The sequence below is a fragment of the Homo sapiens genome, chromosome 1, assembly GCF_000001405.40.
Source record: "Homo sapiens chromosome 1, GRCh38.p14 Primary Assembly".
Classification (NCBI taxonomy): Eukaryota; Metazoa; Chordata; class Mammalia; order Primates; family Hominidae; genus Homo; species Homo sapiens.
Genome location: NC_000001.11, coordinates 43,212,794 through 43,236,735, shown reverse-complemented (window position 1 = coordinate 43,236,735; position 23,942 = coordinate 43,212,794). Strand labels below are relative to the sequence as shown.

General features: G+C 48.1%; 1 protein-coding gene and 1 long non-coding RNA gene across 20 annotated transcripts in view, besides 1 other annotated feature; one reads left to right on the top strand and one right to left on the bottom strand.

The window, feature by feature from the left end:
• The window catches only part of CFAP57 (cilia and flagella associated protein 57), an 82,029-nt gene that overhangs the window by 17,623 nt on the left and 40,464 nt on the right, over nt 1–23,942 (bottom strand). For 11 of the 15 annotated variants that reach the window (XM_011540796.2, XM_011540793.1, XM_047447334.1 and 8 more), the window contains 10 exons: nt 21,320–21,481; nt 17,199–17,354; nt 15,271–15,364; nt 14,441–14,631; nt 13,739–13,912; nt 12,532–12,690; nt 9,610–9,753; nt 4,112–4,228; nt 2,323–2,457; nt 2,098–2,241 (listed from right to left, as the gene is read on the bottom strand). In XM_011540796.2, coding sequence (XP_011539098.1) covers nt 2,098–2,241; nt 2,323–2,457; nt 4,112–4,228; nt 9,610–9,753; nt 12,532–12,690; nt 13,739–13,912; nt 14,441–14,631; nt 15,271–15,364; nt 17,199–17,354; nt 21,320–21,481 — 1,476 coding nt within the window. Of the gene's footprint in view, nt 1–2,097; nt 2,242–2,322; nt 2,458–3,899; nt 3,969–4,111; nt 4,229–4,571; nt 4,671–9,609; nt 9,754–12,531; nt 12,691–13,738; nt 13,913–14,440; nt 14,632–15,270; nt 15,365–17,198; nt 17,355–18,612; nt 18,699–21,319; nt 21,482–23,942 lie in introns of those variants that run through there. The other 4 variants (NM_001195831.3, XM_017000422.3, XM_011540800.3 and 1 more) reach the window with 3 other exon arrangements.
• Nucleotides 1–23,942, top strand: part of LOC105378685 (uncharacterized) — a 68,913-nt gene that overhangs the window by 13,859 nt on the left and 31,112 nt on the right. For all 5 annotated transcript variants that reach the window (XR_007066041.1, XR_007066039.1, XR_007066040.1 and 2 more), the window contains exon 2: nt 21,343–21,470. This is a non-coding gene — a long non-coding RNA (uncharacterized LOC105378685). The remainder of the gene's footprint in view (nt 1–21,342; nt 21,471–23,942) is intronic.
• Nucleotides 15,078–15,357: an enhancer, noted in NCBI's record as "active region_914". NCBI's record gives its function as "activates an Ori minimal core promoter by ATAC-STARR-seq in GM12878 lymphoblastoid cells {active_cell/tissue: GM12878}" and the evidence as "EXISTENCE:reporter gene assay evidence [ECO:0000049][PMID:35858748]".

The following is a 23,942-nucleotide window of genomic DNA, read 5'->3' as shown; positions in this document are numbered from 1 at the left end:
GGGTTTCACCGTGTTAGCCAGGATGATCTCGATCTCCTGACCTCACGATCCACCCGCCTCGGCCTCCCAAAGTGCTGGGATTACAGGCGTGAGCCACTGCGCCCGGCTGGAAATTGCCTTTTTTTTTTTTTTTTTTTTTTTTTTTAGCACTTATTCTGTACCAGGCCAGTGCCTAGTGCCTTATGTGGTTGTCCCATTCAATCTTGCAGGAACCCCCCACTCTCAGGTTGGTGTTTTCTTCCCTGTTTTACATATAGGCAAGGTGGCTCCTTGAGTTAAGGAATTTACCCAAGGTCTCCTGGCAGAGGAGTGGTGGAGCAGGGTAAACCAGGGTCGGCACAGTGGTTTTGAAAACTTTTCTTTTTTTTAAATCTTCCAGACTTTTTTCCAACAAAAAGAGCTCCACTGTTAGCAGCAAGCAGTCTCTTTCTGGTTGAAGGGGTAGGGACCCGGAGACCCGCACCCCCTGCCACACACCCCCCACCCTGGGCCCCTTCTTACTCCCTGCAGTTGCTGGAGTTACTTATTTGGATCCACAGGACTCCCTAGCACATAGGTTACAATGCTGCTGGAGAAAATGTTCTTCCCGGGACTTCATTTGTTGATGGCTCCCTCTGCCAGCCATCAGGGAGTGGCAGGGCTGGGCAGGAGGCCGCTTGGGTCTCCTCTGCTTTCTACCCCACCCTGGCCCAGCACCCTCCGGGGCATAGGGAAGCAGAAGAGGACAGGATGCCCGCCCCAGCAGCCTCATGCTGACGCTCACACCCTCTGGCTAGCCTGTGATCTTCCTCCTCCTACATCGATGTTTGCTTTGGCTGCTTGGCATGGAGAGAGGGACCCAGTTCCTCAGGCCTGTACTCTGGTGACAGGGCACAGAGGGTGCTAGGTGATGTCAGCAGCTGACAACTGCTCCTGCTGTCATCCTGGTTTCCCTTCCCTGCTCACTGCACTCCAGAGCCCCAGGGGGCTCTCCATGCTCTAGGTACTCCAGGCCCTAAGCAGTGGCTCAGTGTGCGGCTGCTGGTGTCTCAGGGCTCCACCAGCTGGAGGCACTTCTATCTCTGGGCCTCCGATGGCTTTCATGGCCAAGGAGTAGGGCAAAGGGTAGATGGACTGGGCTGCTTTTCAGCAGGGACTGGTCGTAAGATGACATGAGACCAGCCCTGCCTGGGTCTGGCCTGAATCACAGTGCGCTCTGCCCAGCTGTGTATGAACTGGCCAAGCTGGGAACTGGTTTGTTTCAATCTAACTGCAACCTGTTCCCATTCCAGTATTTTAATTATGGCAATAAAGAAATGTGAACATAAAAAGGTACGTGCTTTATAAATGTGATTCTGATGTTCCCTTTTGATACTAATTCACATTAATTGCCTCAGATGATACTGATACCCAAACAGAAATCTGGCAGAAGAATCCCGACTGGCAGTCCTGATAACGTGCCTGTGTGGAGGCGGCAGTAATGGGGTCAGGCTCTCTGAACAGCCTATGAAGGATCCAGGGAGGTGGGTGTGAGGCGCTTATTAAACCAGAGTGAGGCCAGCTCTGGGACGTTGTGGCTAACTTGGGACACAAGAGATAAGGGTAGGGACCTGAGGCACCAGAAAAATCAGATGAGGCGTGGCCACGAGATATGGGTAGCAGAATACAAAGGAGCAAAACAAAGTCAGGTGAAATGAGAGTTGGGAATGGAAGAGAGAAGGGAAAGTGGCTCAGGAGAGGTAAGATGATGTGGATGAAGGTCTAGAGGGCCAAGGGGCTGATGAGAGGAGTGAGGCAGGGGACACAGGTGTGCTCTGGATAAAGATGGTGTAGAAAAGAGGAATCGGGTATGTGGAGAAGGGAGGTGGGCATTGGGTGGGGTGGAGGCCAGGGTGCAGCATGGAAGTGCCTAGAAAACCTCCTAGGTGAGCTCTCAGCCACAGTCACAGCCAAGACGAGCTCAGAGGAGAGGAGCCAAAATAAGACTTTAGGGGGAGCTACTGGGCCCCCAGACACCTGGGGAGCCCTGAAGACAGGTGGTCTCAGAGGGACCCTTGATGGGATCTCTCATCTTGGATGGCTTGGCCTCCACAGGGGCTGAGGGGAGCATGCAGGTACCTGCATGATGCGGACGTAGTCTGTGCGGTGCAGCTCGCCCTCCTTGACCACCTTCTTCTTGAGAGTGGCCAGGTTCCTCTCCAGGTGCTCCCGCTGCCGGGTGTACTCCTGCTGCAGGTCTGTGTTCAGCCCTGCGATCTCCACCTGACGGGGCCCAGGAGATTCTCAGTGAGGGAGAGGAGACCCCGGAGGTCAGTGCATGGCAGGAGGGGAGGCTGAGCTTACCATGTCTGCTCGCTGCACGTACTTCTCAAAGAGACCTCGAACCTTCTCCTTCAGCAGCCGCGGTTCCTGAATATAGGCTACGCAGTTGTGGAGGTCTGTTTTAAACCTTTTGACCAGCGCTTCCAAGTCTCGCTCCTGCAATCAGAGACGTTTCCTTCTGGTGCTGTAGGGTGCTCTCGGTGGAGGGGCGGGGGCTGCAGGCAGAGGTTAATGGCACAGAAAGGGAAAAGAGATGCCTCATCTGGGACTTACAGCTGACTGCCAGGGGCCATACTGGGCATAGAAACTTAGACGGGCACACAGCCAACAGGTGGAGGCACGAAAAGTCTTGTGCACCTGCCCTCGGCTGGACACCCAGCCTGAACAGCCTACATGGGGCTTCATCCTTAAGAGGCCACACAGATGGGCTCCTTTATTGACTCTGATTCCCTTTCAGGACCACAGGCCTTAAAAGATAAAAGGAAGCTCATGTGGTCACCCATATCCCTTTAGAGCCAAGACAGATGGCATCATTTCTCTCTTGCAGATTCCTGGCCAGGGCTTCCACGTCCCCCGTGTTAGCTCATCCAGTGCTTACCCTTCCCGATAGTCAGGAGCGCTGCTGTGAGTGGGCAGGTTGGTTCATCTACACAGTTGGGCTAGTGTCCCCTCTTCATCATGCTTTTACCTGTCTTCCCCAACCCTGACCTAGAGAAAGTCATTTCTCCTTGCTCCCATGGCCCTTTCTACATGTTCCATCGTTTTCTACCTCTCAATATAACTATTATGCACATGCCACAAATCACCAGTCATCCTCTTCAGCATGGAAATGGCAGGATCTGTATCAGTTCTCGTTTATAGCTCTGCAGCTGCTGGTGTTACCTAGTGCAGAGTTAGTTAATGCTTACTGCAGAAGATGGAAATTTCCAATCTTTTTTTTTTTTTTTAGACGGAGTCTTGCTCTGTCACCCAGGCTGGAGTGCGGTGTTGCAATCTTGGCTCACGGCAACCTCCGCCTCCCAGGTTCAAGCAATTCTCCTGCCTCAGTCTCCCAGTTAGCTAGGACTACAGGCGTGTGCCGCCATGCCTGGCTAATTTTTGTATTTTTAGTAGAGACGGGGTTTCACTATGTTGGCCAGGCTGGTCTCGAACTCCTGACCTCGTGATCCACCTGCCTCGGCCTCCCAAAGTGCTGGGATTACAGGCATGAGCCACTGTGCCTGGACGGAAAGTTCCAATCTTATTCAACAAATGTTAAGGAGTGGCCTGTGCTAGGCAGGAGGGCACAACTGTGTCCTGGCCCACATCCAGAAAACCTAGATTCCATTATTAGCCCTGTGTGTACTACCTAGCTGTGGGTGCTGGGTGAAGTTTCTTAACCTCCCAATTTTTGGGGCCTAATTTTTCTTATTTATAACATGGAGAAATGGGAATCAATGACCTTTGAGGTTCCCCTGGCCTTGGCAATTTTTCGGTCATCAAAGCCTTAAACCAGCGGCGACAAATTGCCTCTCTGAGCACGTACTTTCCTCCTCCAAAGAAGCCAAATGCTACAAATATTCCTGCCATGCTGGCTTCCCACCTCCTTGATCACTTACCCAAAGTCATTTTATAGTCTCAGATGAGTTCAGTGATGTAAATCTACATGGGCCTGAAATCAGGCAGGGCTGGGAGCAAGTAAAGAATGTGAGTTAAAATGGGAAACATATCCTCGCAGTGGGCTGGCTCTGCCTCTTGGAAGCCAGCTGCCCATTGCAGATAGGTGCCAGATCCCGAATCCAAGAACTGCCAGACTCTGAAACCCTCACACCTTCTGTCTCTCTCTGCGCATCTCCTGATCGGTGGCTCTCAGTTTCTGCCACAATTCTGTGATGTTCAGCTCCAGTTGAGTGTTCTGCTTATGGAAATTCTCCAGTTCAGCTTCCATCTGTAGACAACAAGGGAAAAGAGTCAAGAAGAAGAAAGTTAGATAATGAAAACTGTATTTGAGAACTGTAGTCTTTCAGTGGGGATGCCACCCCTGACACCCGGGCATTTCTTTTCTCATCCCCTTCTGTGTCCTCTGGATCAAAACCTTTCTTCTACTTGCTTTCCTAACAGCTCCCCACCCCTAGACTGATATGCTAAACCAGCATCACGTGTTTCCACGGCCAGGCTGGGAAGTTTTCCCTCTGAGTCACTTTCCCTTTCCTTCAACCATGCTGATTATTTTATTTTCTTGAATTCCTTATAAATTGGTGACACCCAAGCACTAGAACCTCAACTCTCACCTGAGGCAGGGTTCCCCAGAGAAGCACCTTCCTCACCTGCTTTCTGAAGTTGTATAAGTGAATCTCGACCCTCTGGGGCCACTTTAGAATGGGGTCATTCTAAAGCAGAAAGTTTGGAGGGACCAACATGTGGGCACCACCCATCTAAGGCATAAAACAGGAAAGGGGAAGCTGAGAAGGGGCCTCAGCCTCATCATTCTGTTGAAAGGTCTTAAAAAGTACAACTGAGAAGTGTCCTGTCTTCACAAGAAAAATAAGAAACCACCAGTGAGCTTCTGAAATACATTTTTTTTAGATGGAGTCTTGCTCTGTTGCCGAGGCTGGAGTGCAGTGGTGCGATCTCTATCTTGGCTCACTGCAACCTCCGCCTCCGGGTTTAAGCAATTTTCTAGCCTCAGCCTCCCGAGTAGCTGGGATTACAGGCAATTGCCACCATGCCCAACTAATTTTTTTTTTTTTTTTTTTGTATTTTTAGGAGAGACAGGGTTTCACCATGTTGTCCAGGCTGGTCTTGAACTCCTGACCTCAAGTGATCTGCCCACCTCGCCTTCCCAAAGTGCTGGGATTACAGGCATGAGCCACTGCGCCCGGGCTGAAAGATTTTTTAAAAATTCATTTTTGCATTTATATTAACCAAAGTCATGGGAATGACAACTGGAGTGTCCAATTAGGATGAGACTAGCTGTGCATGAGCTTTCATTGACCTAACTCCTAATGACTTATGGACTATATCTGGTGGACACTAGTATTTCTGATAAGAGGGAGGTTTGCTGACTGTTTTGGGAGAATGGGATCATTCACTGGATTTTTTCACGGCTAGGTAGAGTAGACCCTCCCCCTCTAGTCTATCCCAGGCCCTTTGGTCAAATTTCAAGGCTCTTGGTAACCTTCTGGGGGGTGCCAGGAGGCCCTAATGAACACATCCATGTTCTAGACACAAAAGGGCAGCTTTTAGAAGGTTTTCCTCATTACTGGAAGCATTTTGTATAGACAGAATAGCCCTCTGACCCAAAGCCTGGCATAAAGGTGGCACTCAAATATTTGATGAATGAACGAATAATGGCAAGTGTGGTGGACAAAGGAGAGCAATAGTGAGGGACACGAAAAGAGCCTGAAACACCCTGCTTCTGGAAGAGGAATGACAAGATAAGAAGGCAGTGTTGGCAGAGTTATATAGAACCACCTTGTAGGGGATACACATTGAGTGTGGGTATTTGCACAGCTAAAGAATGTGCCCATTAGAAAGGGCCGCCCAGCTTGTTGTAGACTTAGAGATCTAAGGCTGATTAAGAAGTAGTTTCTGCCTTCAAGAGGCCTCAGGTCTGCAAGGATAAGAAAGAAGTAAATCAGAAATTCAGGTGGAGTAGGATAAACACTGCAGTTAAGGCAGAAAGCACTGTGTGTACACAGAGGAGGTGAGCAGGCAGCACCCAAAAAGATGGGATGCGTCCACTGGATTTGGGAGGAAGAATAAGTATTAGAGGACAAAAGGGGAAAGAATTCCAGGCAGACAGAACAGCCTGCACACAGAGAGGACCAGAGGCATGGGCAGCCTGGCGCATCTCTGCAGGCTGCAAGTGGCTTAGGGTGGCTGCAGGAGCAGGGATTTGAAGAGGGGGGAGAGGGGAGGGAGAAGAGGCTGGCTGAGCTAGGTCATGCAGGATCCAAGGGCAGAGGCTCAAATGGTGAGAAGTTTGCCTTTATCCTGAAAGCTCAGAGAGCCACTGAAGGCTTAGACCAGGAGTGGAATGATGTAATTTGCATCTTAGAGGGCCTGATGCAGAGGTTCTGCTGAAAAGAGCAAGACGGGGGCCAGGCAGACCAGTCAGGAGGCTGCCAGTTTGGCTGAGGAGGCAGATGATAGCGTCCTAGGCCAAGGCAATGGCAGCTGGAAGAGAGAAAGGGGGCTTCTGTTTGCGGGGCTCCCGAAGATCATGTCTGAGTGCCTCATTCTCTAAATCTCAGGCCAGCAGTGACAGATGAGGTTAGCAGAGAGGGCATACAGGAGTATATTGTTTACTTCTGTTCATTTTTTCCCCCAGGCAAAGACTCATACTACTCTGAGAATAAAAATAATCTGTTTATAGAAAAATTGGGAAATAGGTCAAATTTGAGTAGCTGGCTGGACAGCCAGAAGCCTAGCCCCTTATGTGGAAACAAGCATCTTTTCCCAGTGTGGAAAATCCATCTACTTTTCCATGTGTTTTTCATCACACTCAGAGATTCTCAATGGGGCTCAGGCAGGAGGGTAGAAAGCATTTTGCACCCCCCAGGGGACCTCTGGCAAGGTCTGAAGGCATTTTTTAGTTTTAACATCCTGGATAGGGGGTGTTTTTGGGATCTAGCAGGTAGGGACCAGGGACGCTGCTAAACATCCTACAATATACAGGACAGACCCTCCATGACAGAGAATTACCTACCTCAAAATAGTAGTAGTGCTGAGCTTGAGAAACCCTGCCCTAGTAAATGAGTGTAAACTAAAACGACAAGCCTCGGGAAACCTCTCCCCTAGGCAGGGCAAAGGGACCCTTGGATCATCAGAGCCAAGTTGGAAAAAGAGTATGTGAGGGCGGGTACCTGAATCAGGAAGTGTTATTAGAAGTTGCAGCTCTACAAATGAGCCAAGGGCTTGAGGCTTCCTTCCTGGGAGAAAAAGACCTTTACAGGAGATCCACAGTGCATGAACCAAAGGTGTCTATGACCCCCAGAGGGAAGCCCCAAGGTCAGAGGCTCCCAGAAGCACCCAGGCCCAGGTATCAGTCCTGACAGCAACTGGCACCAGCGAAAGGAGGTAGGAGGGATCCTGCTGGAATCACTCCCAAGGTGCAAGTGTATTCCCTGCTGAGCATCAAGGCCACGGTTGGCCCCTGTTACTGCCAGAGAAGATGAATGGTCCCCCCAGGTGTGCTGGTGGGGAAAGTAAGCTGACCATTAGCAAACAACGGACCCGACCTGAAATGCAGCTGACAAATGTGTCAAATGAGGAAGGAGAAAGGGGGCAGTGATTTCCAGGGGCCTGTGGTGTGCTGGCCCTCCAGGTGGGTGGGGCCTCTGCTCTTCCTCTCATCTTCTCAGGCTGCTATGGTCTGATGAACGTTGGTGCCCTCCACCCCAAATTCCAATGGTGAAACCTAACCCCCAAAGTGATGGGATTAGGAGGTCAGGTCTTTGGGAGGTGATCAGGTCACGAGGGCAGAGCCCTCACAAATGGGATTTGTGCCCTTGTACGAGAGGCTGGAGGGAGCTTGTTTGCCCCCTTTTGCCCTCCCATCACATGAGGACACATAGCAGGTGCCATCTATGAGGAACAGGCCTGGACACCAAATCTGCTGGAGCCTTGGTCTTAGACTTTCCAGCTTCCAGTACTTTCAGCAATACATTTCTGTTGGCCATAAATTATCCCTTCTAAAGTATTTTGTTATAGCACCCCGAAAGGACGACAGCTGCCATTTTGGGGCCCTGAAAGCACTCAAGAATGGTAGGAGGCCCAGCGGAGGCAGGTCTGTGGTCAGCTGGGGGCATCCTTTCTCATCCCAGAAGCCAGGGAAAAAGTCATTGTCACAAGGACATACCCTCTCTGGGCCCCCTGGCCCTGGACTGATCTCCACCTGGCTCTTTACTGGGCTTACCAGAGTACAGGCGTCACCGGGCAGACTGGCACCCCCATGGCTCTGGCACTTCTAGTTGGGTCATCAGTGCTGTCTGACACCCTTGTATCTGTTATCCCGGCTCAGCACAAACAATTAGAGAAGATGGAGGAGGGAGCAGAAGCCTATTTTGTCTAGGGCGGTCAGGGAAGGCATATAGGCTGAGACCTGAAAGATGCAAAGAAGCCAGCCATGTGGCGATCTGGGGGAAGAGCCTTCCAGGCAGAGGCAGCAGCACTGCAGAGGTCCTGAGATGGAAAAGCGTGACTTACAGGAACTGTCAGAAAGTCAGTGGGCTGGAGCAGGGAGGGGGAGCTGTGAGAGGAGGCTGGAGAGGCAGGGAGAGGCTGGATCACGCAGGACCTTGTGGGCCTGACTGGGACTTTGGATTTTACTGTAGGTGGGATGGGACCCCACTGGGGAGTTCACTCAGGCCTCTATGTGGAGACCAGACTGGAGGCTGGAGTCCAGTCCAGATAAGAGATGGTGGCTGCTTGTACCAGGGTGATAGCAGCAGCGGGAAAGGAGGGTTTGATGTGAGATATGTTTTGGAAATTGATCAGACAGATGTTGGTGATGATTTGGATAAGGAGTTAAGAGAAGTGAAGAATCAAGAAAGACTTCTGCATTTCTGCATTAAGTAACTGGGTGGATCATAGACCACTAACTGAGAGAGGGAAAACTGGAGGAAGGGGGAGAGAAAAATCAAGAATTCGGTTTTAGATCAACATGGACGCCACTGTCAGCCCAGCAGGGGAGGCTGATGGGGCAACACACGTTGCAGGGAAAGGTGGCGTGTGGTGGGGGGCATGGGGGACCTCACAGGATTCTCAGAAACCCTTGTCCAGTTGATCCTGCTTCTAATCTCGCCTCTCTACCTTCATCCTGTTTGCTTCCCAGAACATATTCTTAATTATGCCACTCTTCTGCTCAAGAGCCTCTGATGACTTCTCATTCCTTATCAGATGAAGTCCAAACACCATGGCCTCACCTGGGGTCTCAACCAACATTTCCAGTTTGAGAAAAAAATGCTGAACTAGAAGGATAGCCTGTTGGCTGAGTACACACTGCCCTCTGGTGGCCAAATGCCCAATAGCTGCATCTCCCTTAGGAGGGCACAGTACACCGCACACTGAGGCACGGGTAGGGCCAAAGCCCATCTCCAGGTCCCGTGGCAAGTTAACTCCCAAGCGATTTGCTTTCGGTCAGCTGAGCCTGCAGCGGGGCCACGGCCTTCCCTGTTGCACCCCTGTGGACTGGAGGCTGCACACACCTTGGGAGCAGAGAGGACTGTGAGAAGAGCTTCTCCTCAGTCCCTGAGGCCAGCTAGCCAATTGTGGAAGAAGAGACAGAGGGTCTGAGAGGCCAGAGTGTTGCAAATGGCTTCTTACCTCCTGAATCTGTTCCTTCATCACCCTGATCTCATTCTCTCGAGGTTCTATTTGCTTCTTCAGCTCCTTTATTTTGTAGTCAAGCACAAACTTGAATTTCCCTAGTTCTTGATTTTTCTTTTTCAGATCATAAATTCGCTTCTCCTGGGGGTGAGATGAGAGAGAAGTGAGAGATATTGTAAGGCCCTGGTATACTGCAGCCCTTTAGGGCAAAAGAGCACGAAGCCTGTGACTCTCCTGGTTGAAGAGGTCAACCAGGAGACTCCTCTCCTCCCTTCGTCAGTACAGAGGCTGGCACTCCCCCCATGGGGCTACAGCACAGACCCCTCAGCCTCTGTACAAGGACTCTCATGCATTCACTCACTCATTCATATTAGGTTGTGAACAGCGGTATTTTCCAACGATGGCCCCCACAGCATCTCCCGCCCCACACTCCAGCTGTTCTACAGCGTGACCTTGCTGCTTCTCCATCAGGAGGTGGAAGCGAATCCCCTTCCCTTGCATTTGCCTTGACTTGTGACTTGTTCGTAACCCAAATAATGCAGCAGAAGGGAGACTGTGTGGCTTCCAAGGCTAGGCCAAAAAAGGCCAAGCAGCTTTTATCTGGCTCTCTTGGGACACCTGCATTGGGGGAGGGCATCTGCTATGTAAGAAGTCCAACTACACTGAGACATCCAGGCTGGTGGGCACATTAGGGGCTCTGATCAAAAGACCCAGCTGAGCCTAGCCTCCCAGACACCCCTGCCAAGGTGCCAGACATGTGACTGAAGAAGCCACATTGGATGTTGATCTTCCAGCCTCCAGCTGTTTTGAGTCACCCCCAGTATTCCCAGCTGAGGCCCCAGACATCGGGGACAGAGATAAGCCATCCTTTTGTACCCTGTCCAGATTCCAGATCTGTAGCACCTGTAAGCAGAATAAAATAGTTGCTTTCAATCACTTAGTTTTTCTTTTTGAGATGGGTCTCACTTTGTCACCCAGGCTAGAGCGCAGTGGCACGATCTTGGCTCACTGCAACCTCTGCTTCTCAAGTTCAAGCGATTCTCCTGCCTCAGCCTCCAGAGTAGCTTGGATTACAGGCATGTGCCACCACTCCTGGCTAATTTTTATATTTTTGGTAGAGATGGGGTTTCACCATGTTGGCCAGGCTGGTCTCGAACTCCTGACCTCAAGTGATCCACCTGCCTCTGCCTCCCAAAGTGCTGGGATTACAGGCGTGAGCCACCACACCTGGCCTCAATCAGTAAGTTTTAAGGTTAATTTGTTGCACGGTGATAGTAATCAGAACATAAGTATATCCATCCATCAAACATTTACTGAATGAAGATCTTTTGTCAAGTATTGGGTTTCCAAATATAAATACAACACAGTCCCTTGCCCTTAAAAGAAAACACTAGTTGGGAAAGAAGACACAGAAGCAAATCTAAGCCTAAAATGTGATAAATGTTGTAAAGCACAGAAGGCAAAGTATATATTGAGGGTGCTGAGAATGACTGGCTTGAGAGCCAAGCGGTGGTTCATGGGGGAAGTGAGAGGTGAGGCTGGGGAAATAGAGGAGGGAGGTGAGGGTCTTCATGTTGGGGGAAAGAGTTCAGAATTTATCTCCTAGGCCAGGGGTTGGCAAACTCCAGCCTGTGGGCCACATTGGGCCTGCTGTCTATTTCTGTAAAACTTTATTGGAACACAGCCAAGTTAATTGACTAATGTTTTGTTTATGGGTGGTTTCACACTACAGCAGCGGTGTTGATTCGTTGAGACAGACCACATGGCCTCCAAAGCCAAAAATATTTACTACCTAGGTCTTTACAGAAAGAGCGTGCTGACCCCTGCTGTAGCAATGGGGAGCTGTGAGGGCTTTGAGCAGGAGAGTGGCAGCATTGCACCTGTACCCTGCCAGTCCATGGTGGTGGGAGATGGGAAGTGAGGCCATTAGACTGCTTAGGAGGCTGTTGCCACTTTCTAGGTGAGGAGGCCTTTGTCTCTTTCTTGTCAAAGCCCCCTTTGAGAATCTGAACAGAGCTTTGGATCTTCCCTAAAAACAAACAAACAAACAAACAAACAAACAAACAAACAAAACCCTGGATATGTACACCGACACTCACATGCAGAAATGACATCCAGGCATGATCCCATGATCCTATGTGATCCTTACAAGACCCCTTGAGGTGGTTATCATCCCCATTTTATAGGTGAGAAAATGAAGGCTTAGAGAAGTTGCTCGAGGTGCAATGGTCAATAAATGGAACCTGTGCCAGACCTAGTTCCCTAACACTGAAGCCCACGTCCTTGGCCCTTGGAGAATTCCACCTGCCTTGGGCCGTAGTGGCAGGGGAGATGGAGAGGAGGGCACGGAATCTGGATGTGCTCAGGAGGATGATACTACATACTGGGTATTGAGGTATCTGCCCCACAGAATGTGATGTCTCTGACGTCTGAGTGTTTTGTAAGAAAGGCATCCCAAAAGTGGAGGCAGCCTCCTGGACAGGGTCAATCCCAGGAGAGTCCCTCTGCGACAGGGGGACCATGTGGTCAGTGCGGCAAGTGAGCTGTCCCCAGCCCATGGGGAAGCGCCTCCAAGGATGCCTGGAGCAGTGGAGTCAGCTGACTCGGTTCTTATTGCAGCCTGTCACCTATTGAAGTGTGTGACCCTGGGCAAGATACCCAGCCTCTTGGAGTTCAGCTTCCCGAACCATAACACTGGGTTCTCAGGCCCCCTGGGTTGTTGGCAGAGCTGAAAGTGATGTGTTGACAGCGATTAGCCCAGTGCCAAGCACACAACAGGCACTTCACTGACGGCTGGTTCCCCCATCAAGTTAAAGAAATGCGTCCTGAGAAGCTAGGGACCCTCTCTCCCCTGAGCTTTGCCTTCCTCGCCTTGGCCCATCTGGCCGTAGCTGAGGGAGGACAGAAGGAGAGCTGCACCTTGTCTTGAATAGTCTCGTCTCTTTCCTGGATCTCTCGCTTGAGGCCTTGGATGTCCTTCTCCAGAGACTTAATGACTCCTTGCAGCTTCATCTGCTCTCCTTTTAGGGTCTCGATGTCATTGGTTCGTTCTTCAATCTCCTTCTGTAGGCTGCTGAACTAGAAAAGCGAACAGCAACAACAAAGACCACTAAAGTCAGAACTCATCTCCATCCCTCCCACTGTCTCAGTGTAAGGGGCTCCCCACCACTGGCCACCTTCTGTGGACTGAAAACACTTAGCATTCAACATTTCTGGGATTTTAGGAGTGAATATCTGGAGCATTTGGGACGGTTCAGGAATTTCCCAGGCCAAATGGATGATGTAGTATTCTGTCCCATAACATCCAGGCCCATTCTCCATATGAGAGGACTGACTGTCTTCACAAGAGGTTCCAGAGACCGGTACACCAAGTGGACCAGAGACTTCTATGACCACACTGATCTTGAAAAGCTGGGATCCACACTGCATCAAGGTCACAGAAAGTGGGCCCTAACTGATGAGCCATCTTAGCCATGACCAAGAAGGGAAGACTGATTGTTCCCTGGATTTACTAGTGTGCTTTCTAATAGGAAGAAACTTCAGCTTGCTTTGAACTTAGCTTTTCCAGGGCTAAATGTTTTGGGGAAACTGAGTTGAATCCTCCCTCACCCCTGATGGTGAGTGAACTAAAAACATCTTCCCCACTTTGTAAACTAAGCATCCTACACCCCCATTCCCTCTCCCACCTGTGGTGCTGAACAGGAGCCGCCCATGACTCCCTGGACCAAGAGCCCGAGGATGCCTCCCGGCCAAGACTTCATCTATCTCATCCCCAGAAGACCTTATTTCCATTTCCATTTCCATCGGAGGGTTATCTCAGAAAACATTAACTGAATCCTACTTGCCAGTAAGTGAAAACTAGAAAGCCTCTGTCTGCACACAGGGAACCCCAATATCCTGTGAAAAGGAGAGCAGGGAAGCCCGTGCAGCTGCCTTTCCAAGGACGAGGTGGGGAGGGTCCATCTGCGTGAGGGTGCACTGGCTGGTGCTCTTCTCCCAGCCTGCTCGCTGAAGATGGGGACAGGCAGGACCCTGGCCAGCACCCCCAGGCCGGTCAGTCCACCCACCCCAGCTTTCTCTGCAACACCCTCGCCCACCCTAGGTCTCTTGGAGAACAGCCTGCTACCTTCTTCCTCATGATGCCTGTTTCTCCCTTGAGCCGCAGGTTTGATTCCTTTTCATCCCGAAGCTTTTTCTCATACTTGGTTTTGATATCTTGGATTTCTCGGTCTTCATCTTCCTCAATCTGCTTCTTGGTCTCTTCAAACTCCCGCAGCTGCTGCCTGACGTCTTCCTGTGCCTGGCTCAGAGAGAGTGGGCGTGTGGTCAGGGGAGAAGGGACTCACACATCTTTGTGCCAACAGGGCTTGAGGTGAGATGAGCATGGGGACCTGTCCCAGGGAGTCAAAGGCGAGTGTCATTCCAGAAACGGAGACCATGGCCACAGGGCCCTTGACCTGTCCACCTTCTTCCCGTCTGTCCTGTCTTCCTGCCTCCCCTCTTTTCCTACCAAATCAGGCCTCATGCTCCACCACTTCAACCCCAATCTTACCAACACCCCATCCCTGTTCTCCTTTGGTCTTGTTCACTGGACACCCAGCCTTCCTATATTTTTCTCTCACAGAACTTGTGACAGTCATAATGTTATATTTATTTGCGATGTTATTTGGCTGTCTCTCCCATTTGATATAAGTTCCTTGGGGGTAGAAACCATGTCTGACCCAGTGTATAACACATCCTGGCATACAGTGGCTATGCCATGGAGATCTGAGTGAATGGGTGGCTTTTCTCTGTGAAAGGGAGGCACAGCATGGCTTCCTGTGAGTACCTCTTCCAGAAGGGTGGTTTTCTCCTGCAGTTTTGCCTCGTAAAACTCAGTCAGCTCCTCCAGGGCCTGGCTCTTGGTCTCATCGTTATCCCGGAGCTGTTTTTCATACTCTTCCTGCATCCTCTGGGACTTGAGCTGCAGCTCCTGGTACTTCTCATATTCTAGAAGCAACTTTTGGTTGTTGCAACATTCTGGAGAGAAGCAAGGATGGTATTTAAGGTGGGAGAGCAGCACTTGCTTCAGGGACACCCAGGAGCCTTGGGCGCTCTCCCATCCCTTCCAGCACCAGCTGGAGCAGCTGCCTCCAGAGCCAAGATTCAAATGCCTGCCTAGCTTCCTTGCTGCCAACCCCTCATCCCATCATCTCATCAGGTAGCCAAACTCCCTGCCTGCCTGCTCTGGGAAGAAAAGTTTCCAGGAAAGCACAGAGTGGTATTTGGGGACTCAGGGCCAAGAAGAATATCCTGAGTGTGAAAAATAAGTATTAGGACTCCTGCTTTATAGCAAAGTGAGGCTCGGTAAGGTTAGGTGACTCCCCAGAGCACCTGGCAAGTACGTGGTGAGCCTGGGACCCAAGGCAAGACTATCAGGTTCCAAACTTGACCTTTTCCGTGCCTCCTACTTTCATGCAATAGGTGTTTAATGTGCTTAGTGAATGAGTAAAAACACAGAAGTGAAAACCACAGTGAGTTCCAGGGGATACATGTAGCCTGTTTTTAGACAGAGCCATATTCCCTGAGACTTCTACTGTGTCTGGGGGACTCTTGAGTGTTTCCCCATAACCTAGCTCTTCCAACCCTAACCAACGAGGCCTCTACTTGTGGGCTCACCCATGTCCTGCAGTTCCCGGCTTTGCTTGTCTAGGAGGTCTTCTATGTGCTCATGGTGATAAACATCCTGCTTCTCTTTTTCTGTTCTTAAGACCTAAAACAGAGTCACATTTCCTCATTTACACACATCTGCTGAAAGCACTACTAGGGCAAGAACTGATTTTACAAGTAACACCCTCCTTCACTCACAAACATTTCTCAAGCCCTCATTTTGCACCAAGCACTGTTCTATGAAGCAGCAACCACATTGTCACTTTTCATTTATGTTATATTCTGCTCTAAAAGCTCTATACTGTTCCTATTTCTATTCTTGCTACTAAATGGGTTTGTCAATGATGAGTTCAGTTTTGGACACGTGTCAAAAGGACTTCTGGGTGAAAAAGTAGGGATTCATTTGAATCCTCTGTTGCCAGCACATTGCTGTCAACAAAATCCTTGGCTGTGCTCATGGGTAAGCTTCTGAGGAAGTGTTTTCTTTAACTGAGCAGGAAAGCTTTCAGGCTTGGGGGGCGAGTTGGAGGTGGTGTGCCATCTTCAGGACCTAACTTTGCGCCTGGCTTATATAGAGCACCAAATAAATGTTTGTTGGCTAAATGAATAAAATTATAAAGTGAATTAATTAATACAATTAATAGCCAAGGTTTTTCTTTCTTTTTTTTTTTTAGCCGAACTTTATGACCCATAGACATTAAAGAAACAAATATCCCTCAAGGACATAATTGGGGATTTCTTTAGGGGGTGAGGGACAGGGCCTCGCTCTGTCATCCAAGCTGGAGTGCAGTGCAGAGATCATGACTCACTACAGTCCCCACCTCCCAGGCTCGAGCAGTCCTCCCATCCCAGCCTCCCAAGTAGCTAGAACTACAGGCAGATGCCACCATGGCAGACTCATTTTTTATTTTACATAGAGACAGGGTCTCACTATGTTGCCCATGCTGGTCTCAAGCTCTCGGATACAAGCGATCCTCCTGCCTAGGCCTTCCAAAGTGTTAGGATTATAGGGGTGAGCCACCTTGCCCAGTGGGGATTTTAGATAGGAGTCCAGATTTGTGTAGAACAAAGAAAAGAATCTGGGAGAGTCCCAGACCAAATCTAACTATGTAAAGGCCATGTAGACTAATTTTATTTAACTTCCTGACAATCCAGGAATCAGTATTCTGCTAGTTATTCTCCATCTATGCTTTGATTTTCTTATCTTTTTGCTTTTTCTTATCGTTTCATTTTGTTTTAAAATAAGTTTCTCCTAATCATAATTCTCATTGTAGAGAATTTGGAAATTACAAAAAGTATGTAAAACAAAATTTAAATTATCTGTAATCTCAACTTCCAGAGATAATTATACTGTTATCTATTTTCTATATGTATTTTACTACTATAGATCAGATTAATTAATCTGTTAATACCACTAATACCGATTAATACCATTCACCATAAAGTGGTTTATATTCTGCTTTTTTTCACTTAGCAATTGATTGTAAGCATTTATTTTTATTTATTTATTTATTTATTTTTAGACAGAGTCTATGTTGCCCAGGTTGGAGTGCTGTGGAGCGATCTCAGCTCACTACAACCTCCACTTCCCAGGTTCAGATGATTCTCATGCCTCAACCTCCCGAGTAGCTGGGACTATGGGCACGTGCCACCATGCCTGGCTAGAGATGGGATTTCACTATGTTGGCCAGGCTGGTCTTGAACTCCTGACCTCAAGTGGTCTGCCCGCCTTGGCCTCCCAAAGTGCTGGGATTACAGGCATGAGCCACTGTGCCTGGCCAGTTGTAAGCATTTCTGATATCAACGACTATGCTTTAAAATTGGACATTTTCACATATCTTACTGTTTGAGCATAGCTTGGGCAGTATATGCCAGTCCTGTCTTGAAAGTGGAAATTTCTTGTTATTTGTGCTTGTTGGTCAGTCTCTTAAACAGACCTGGTTTTTTGTTTTCAAGGACTCCATTTCCTGGATGAACTTGTCTGTTAGCTCCTTAATCTTCTCAGAATAGTTCATGTCCTTTAGTCGGAGTTGATACTCATTCTCCATTTTTAATTCCTCCACACGAGTCTTTAGCTCCAACATAACCTGAGCCTTTGGGAGAAGGACAGAAGGATCAAGAACACTGACAGTAAGGGTGACTCAGAATATTTAAACCTGCGGCCTTGACCTGAGACCTGCAGCTCTGCCTAGCTTCAAACTCAATGTGTCTCAACTAGAACTTGTCATCTTTTCCCCAGAAGGCACATCAGCTAAAAATGAGGAGACATATGAGCTTCCTCCTCTATCCTCAAAAAATCTTTACTACATTGTGCTAGTCATGCGCTCATCTCATTCAAGTCGGCTTAAGCATCTCCTGCTTGACGAGGCTGACTTGCACCACACTGTTTAATTCTGCAACCCCTTCCCATTCCCAGGACCCATCACCTCTCTTACTCTGCTCTACTTCTTATTTCCTTAGATCTTGCACTTTCTACAATTTACTTATTATTTTGTTTATTGTTTTTATTCTTCTTTCCCCATCAGAACTTAAGCTCCACATAGACCAGAATCTTTGTAGGGTTTGTTTGCTGATATATCCCAAGTACGGGAACAATGTCTAACACAGAGTAAGATCTCAGAAGATATTTATTGAAGCATGATGGCTGTCCCCATGTAACTTAGAGTCTACTGAGGCAGCCAGACAAACACATTATTACAAATTGTGGTAAGTGCCCAAAGCTGGGTGGTTCTCAGTACTGCCAATCTGTCCCTCTTGATGTCTTCTTAGACTCACTTTTAATACTTTAATATAGGTCCTAACTCTTCTGTCTTGCTGGTTTTTATGCCTAGTATCTTCTTATTCTTCCTTTTTTTCTCTTTTTTTTTGAGACATGGTTTCACTCTGTCACCCAGGCTGGAGTGCGGTGGTGTGATCATGGCTCACTGTAGCCTTGACCTCCTGGGCTCAAGTGATCCTCCCACCTCAGCCTGCCAAGTAGCTGGGACTACAGGCATGCCCCACCACACCTGGCTAATTTTTATATTTTATATTTTTTGTAGAGATGGGGATCTCACTATGTTGCCCAGGCTGGTCTCGAACTCTTGGGCTCAAGCAGTCCTCCTGCCTCAGCCTCCCAAAGTACTGGGATTACAGACTGAGCCACCGCACCCGGCCTAGTGTCTTCTCCCATCGTACTCAATGATGCCAAAGTTTTCTAAAAATACTATAATACACACACCCTTCATTTCCTTAAAAAGTTAATGTTGATGACAGAGTGGGTCAGAATGCAGTGTTTTCTTCTTGCTTACCTATGGGGACACCCCGTGCATCCCTATCTCATCATTTCTGGTCTGTCTCCTCTACCACCTGTGAACGACTTGACATCAAGGAATGGATTACGCACATTTCTGCATTCCTGGCCAGCAGACTAGTGAGGATCTGGTGCACAGGAAGTACTGAGAAGAAGGATAAGCACAAATTGCACGTGCAAAGTCAGAGAGGATGGAGCAGGAATGCCTGGCCAGGGCACTCACTGCATGTGATATGGCACAGGTTGGATGTATAGGAAGGGGCAGCCAAGACTGCGTCAGACCATCAGGGGCCCGGTAGACCATGCTAGGAAGTTTGGATTTTATCTTAGAGGGCTTCCAAAGGTCCTCATCGAACCCGATCAGGCTGACTTTGGTGTTATAAAGATCTCTCCAATGGCGGTACGCAGCACGGACTAGATTAAGGAAGGACCAAAGGCAGGATGATGAGTTGCTGGGGTGGGTGGGCGGCAACTGCATAGACCAGGCGAGAGACAGACAGGGTTTGGACTGAGGTAGGGAAGGGGACCAGAGAGGAATGGAGAGGTTGGAGAGAGTGAGTTTAGAGAGGATAGTGCCTGACTGGGTGTGGGGTGGAGAGGTAAGGATCATGGATGAAGGCTGTCTCCTAGGTAGAAGGACCGGTACCTGAGGGTGGGGCTTGGCCTGTCTTGCTTCTCTGCTTTATCCCCAGAACCTAGCATAAAACTAGCAGCATGGTCAGCACTGAATGAATACTTATCAATGATCCCAGGGGTCTGCCCTGGCTAGTGGGATATATTTATCCATGGGAATGACCCGGCCTTTGACATGCTGTGTTTGAGGTCCTTGTTCAGTGTCCTTCCTCCATCTATTCTTCACATTGCTGCAGATTATTCTCTCCGAGATGCGAATCATGTTAAGTCATTCCCCAGCTTAAATTTATGAATGGTCCTTATGAACAATGTCCAGCCTAATGCAGGGTGTAAAAGGCCCCCCTGACCTGTTTCTCTCCAGCTTCATCTTCAGCCCTTCTCTCTGGCACAACCTAACTAGGAGCAGCTTTGCAGACCACCACTCCCTCATCCCTCTGCACACACTCACTGCTCATTGCTCACTGGCCCTTGTCCATTTGTCCTGGAAGGATCTGAGCAAGGCTCATGTCCTCTGGCACCACCTGGCCTGAGCCAAGTTCCTTCCCCTGTGCTCCCACAGCATCGTTCTTTCATGACACTTCATTCCACTGCACGTTTAATTCCCTTCTTTGTGATACTCTGCCCTCTTCCCAGGCTATCAGCTAAAGGATGCTTTATGTCTTTTATCTCTGTAATCCCAGACCTTAGTATAGTGTCAGGTACACAGCAGACCCCTCTGTAAATCCTAGGCAGAGAAGGTAAATCATGGCCTGAGAGTTACTTAGACTATAATGGAATATAAAGAGAGTTGGGAATTCTGGGAACATGCTTTTTAAGGGACAGGCGGAGGAAGAGCCAGGACAGAAGCGGGGAGGAGGAGTCAGAAAGGTTTTCAGGGAACAGAGTGTGGTCACAAGGATGGTAAGACAGAAGGGAGTTTCAAGAAGGAGCGGTATATGCACAAGTCATTTCCAGCCTGGCAGCGGTACTGTCAGGCCCATCTGGGGGCTGTGGTCAGAAGCCAGCTTGGGCACCTTCAGGCCTTTGGTTCAGCCTGCTGTCTCCTATTTGGCCTCTTCCCCTACCCTCTGGGAAGAACAGAAAAGATAACAGAGAAAAGGAAATGTCCCTTCTGCAGCAGGTCAGGCCCCCACTCTCACGGGCCCCTCCCTCATCCTCTTCTCCCTCTTTGCTTTTCCTGCAGAAAATTCTAGGGAGCTCTGGAAGGGATCTCCAGCGAATGCCAGGGGCTTGTCACCGTGCTTTGTGGCAGTGTTGTATTGCTGCTCTGATGGCTTTACTTGTTTCTATCCCTCACTTGACTGTAAGCTTCCTGGTCATGTCACAGGGCCCACAACTGTCTTTTCACATGTGCATCCCCAGTGCCTAGCAAATGGTAGGTGTTCAATAAACACACTTAAGATTCTGGACAAACAGCAATGACTGTGTAGCTTTGCGATCCTCCATGAGCCTTGTGTGTTTATCATCCATTCAGCTTCTCCCTTAGGAAGCGTAACACAGAGCTATGCACTCATATCTCTGCAAAACACACCTTTATGGAATGTTTACTGCATCAACAGGAAGGAAGGGATGTCCCTTTGGTATAGTGATTAAGGGAGGGGGCTCTGGATTAAATCTGGATTAGAACTCTAGTCCTATTAATTATTAGCACACTGACTTTGAACACATCCCTCAAGCTCTCCTAACTTGTTTTTTGAAACATGGGGAGAATGACAGTATCTTCTTCATAGAGATGTTGTGAGATTTAAATGAGAACATACTTTACTTTTGTAAATATTTATTGATTGTCTTCCATGTGCCCAGCATGTGCTAGGAACTGTTGGTCATAAGAGAACTGTATGTTTCATTATTCTTGGTTTCAAAGAGTAGGAAGAGAAAACCAGATCACAGAATAAAAGCAAAGCACAGTGTAAGTCAAGATGATCACATGGCAGAAAGACAGGCAGAGTCGGGTGGACAGTGGCAATGAGGAGGAGAGCTTGGTTGTGGGGACAGCAGATGTGCAGGGAGCCGTGGGGGTCTGCACTGGGCATAGGGTGTAGCCAGGCTGTAGAGGGCCCCAGTGCTGGACCTGCATCTGAATGCAGTCTGGTAAGTAATTCCATATCCCTCTTCATTAGATCCAGTTCTTACCTTTTCTTCCATGTCTGTTTTAGTCACAAGCACCTCTTCGGCAAAGCCCACCTCCCTCTCTCGCTTGATTCCCCGGCCATCCTTATCAAAGACCTTCCAGGTGAACAGGCAGCCATCCTCAGCAGCAGTCAGCAGGAACTGATCATCAAAGGTAAGCAACATCTGAAGAGAAAAAGGGTCATGGCCAGGAAGCTTTCAAGGCCACAGATGACCAGGGCTGAGCCAGCTGTTGCGCAAGGCTTCCCCCCATGCAATCCTGGGCACAGCCTCACAGGGAGGTAAACTTGATCCCAGGTAAGAATGAGAGAGGAGCCCTCACAGGCATCTGTTAATGAATAGAAGAAGTAAGGTTACGTCTACATTCTCTGTGGATTTGGAATCTGAAGAGTCAGCTATTATCTAGAACGAACAAGAAACTCTCAAAACTCAACAGTAAAAAAGCCAAACAATCCAATCAGAAAGTAGACAAAAGATAAGGAGACATTTCACCAGGGAAAATACACAGATGGCAAGTAAGCACATGAAGAGATACTCCGCATTATTAGCCATTTAGGAAAATGCAAAATTAGGACCATGATGAGATATCACTACACACCCATTAGAACAGCTAAAATAAAAAACAGTGACAACACCAAGTGCTGGCAATGATGCAGAGAAACTGGGTCTCATACATTCTTGGTAAGAATGTAAAATGGTACAGCCACTCTGGAAAATAGCTTGGCAGTTTAAAAAAAAACAAACCTGAATATACACTTACCATATGATTCAGCAATTATACTCCTGGGCATTTATCCCAGAGAAATGAAAACTTATTTCCACACAAAAGCCTGTATATGATTGGTCACAGCAGCTTTATTTATAATAGCTGAAAACTGGAAAAAATTAAAAATATCCTACAATAGGTGAATGGCTATACAAACTGTGATTTGTTTTTCATGGAATACTACTCAGAAATAAAAGGGAATAAACTATGATTGATACACAACACAACTTGGATGGATTTGAAGATTTAGCTGAGTGGAAAAAGCCACAATCAGGACATTAAGCTAAAAAGCTTCTGCACAGCAAAGGAAACAATCAACAGACTGAAGAGACGACCTGTCGAATGGGAGAAAATATTTGCAAACTATTGCTCTGACAAAAGACCAATATCCAGAATACCAAAGAACTCAAACAATTCAACATTAAACAAACAAAAAAATCTAAAAATCTCATTAAAAAGTGGGCTAAGGGGCGGGCGTGGTGGCTTACACCTGTAATCCCAGCACATTGGGAGGCTGAGGAGGGTGGATCACCTGAGGTCAGGAGTTTGAGACCGGCCTGGACAACATGGTGAAACCTCATCCGTACTAAAAATACAAAAATTAGCTGGGCGTGGTGGCAGGCACGGTAATCCCAGCTACTCGGGAGGCTGAGGCAGGAGAATCTCTTGAACCCAGGAGGGGGAGGTTGCAGTGAGCCGAGATTGAACCATTGCACTCCATCCTGGGTGACAAGAGCAAAACTCTATCTCAAAAAAAAAAAAAAAGTGGGCTAAGGACATGAATAGACATTTCTCAAAAGAAGACATACAAATGGCCAACAGGTATATGAAAAAATGCTCAACATCACTAATCATCAGGGAAATGCAAATCAAAACCACCATGAGATACCATCTTACCCCAATTAGAGTAGGTATTATCAAAAAGACAACAAATAACAGATTCTGGCAAGAATGTGGAGAAGAGAGAACTCTTATACACTGTTGGTGGGAAGGTAAATTAGTACAACCACTATGGAAAACAGTATGTAGACTTCTCAAAAAAACTAAAAATAGAACTACCATACAATCCTGCAATCTCATTACTGGATACTTTTCTAAAGGAAAGGAAATCAGCAGATTGAAAGGATACCTGCGCTCCACCGCCCCCCCCATATTTATTGTACCACCAATAGTAAAGATATGGAATCAACCTAAGTGTCCATCAGTGGATGAATGAATAAAGAAAATGTGGTATATATACCCACTGGAATACTATTTGGCCGTAAAAAATGAATGAAATCATGTTTTTGCAGCAACATGGATGGAACTGGAGGTCGTGAAGTTAAGTGAAATATGTCAGGTACAGAAAAACAAATATTGTGTGTTCTCATTCATATGTGAGAGCTAAAAAATGTTGACCCTAGTCGGGCATGATGGCATGTGCCTGTAATCCCAGCTACTTGGGAGGCTGAGGTGGAAGAATCGCTTGAACCCAGGAGGCGGTGGTTGCAGTGAGCGGAGATCATGCCATTGCACTCAAGCCTGGGCGACAGAGTGAGACTCTATCTCAAAAAAAAGAAAAAAAAGTTGACCTCATGGAAGTAGAGAGTGGCATGATAGATACTAGGGAAGAGTGTATGGGTTGGTGGGGTGCTAAAGAGAGATTGGCTAACAGATACAAACATTAGATAGAAGAAATCAGTTTTCTTTTCTTTCTTTCTTTCTTTTTTTTTTTTTTTGAGATAGAGTCTGCTATGTTGCCCAGGCTAAGAGTGCAGTGGCACGATCTCCCAGCTCACTGAAATCTCTGCTTCTCAGGTTCAAGCAATTCTCCTGCCTCAGCCTCTCGAGTAGCTGGGATTACAGGCGTGCACCACCATG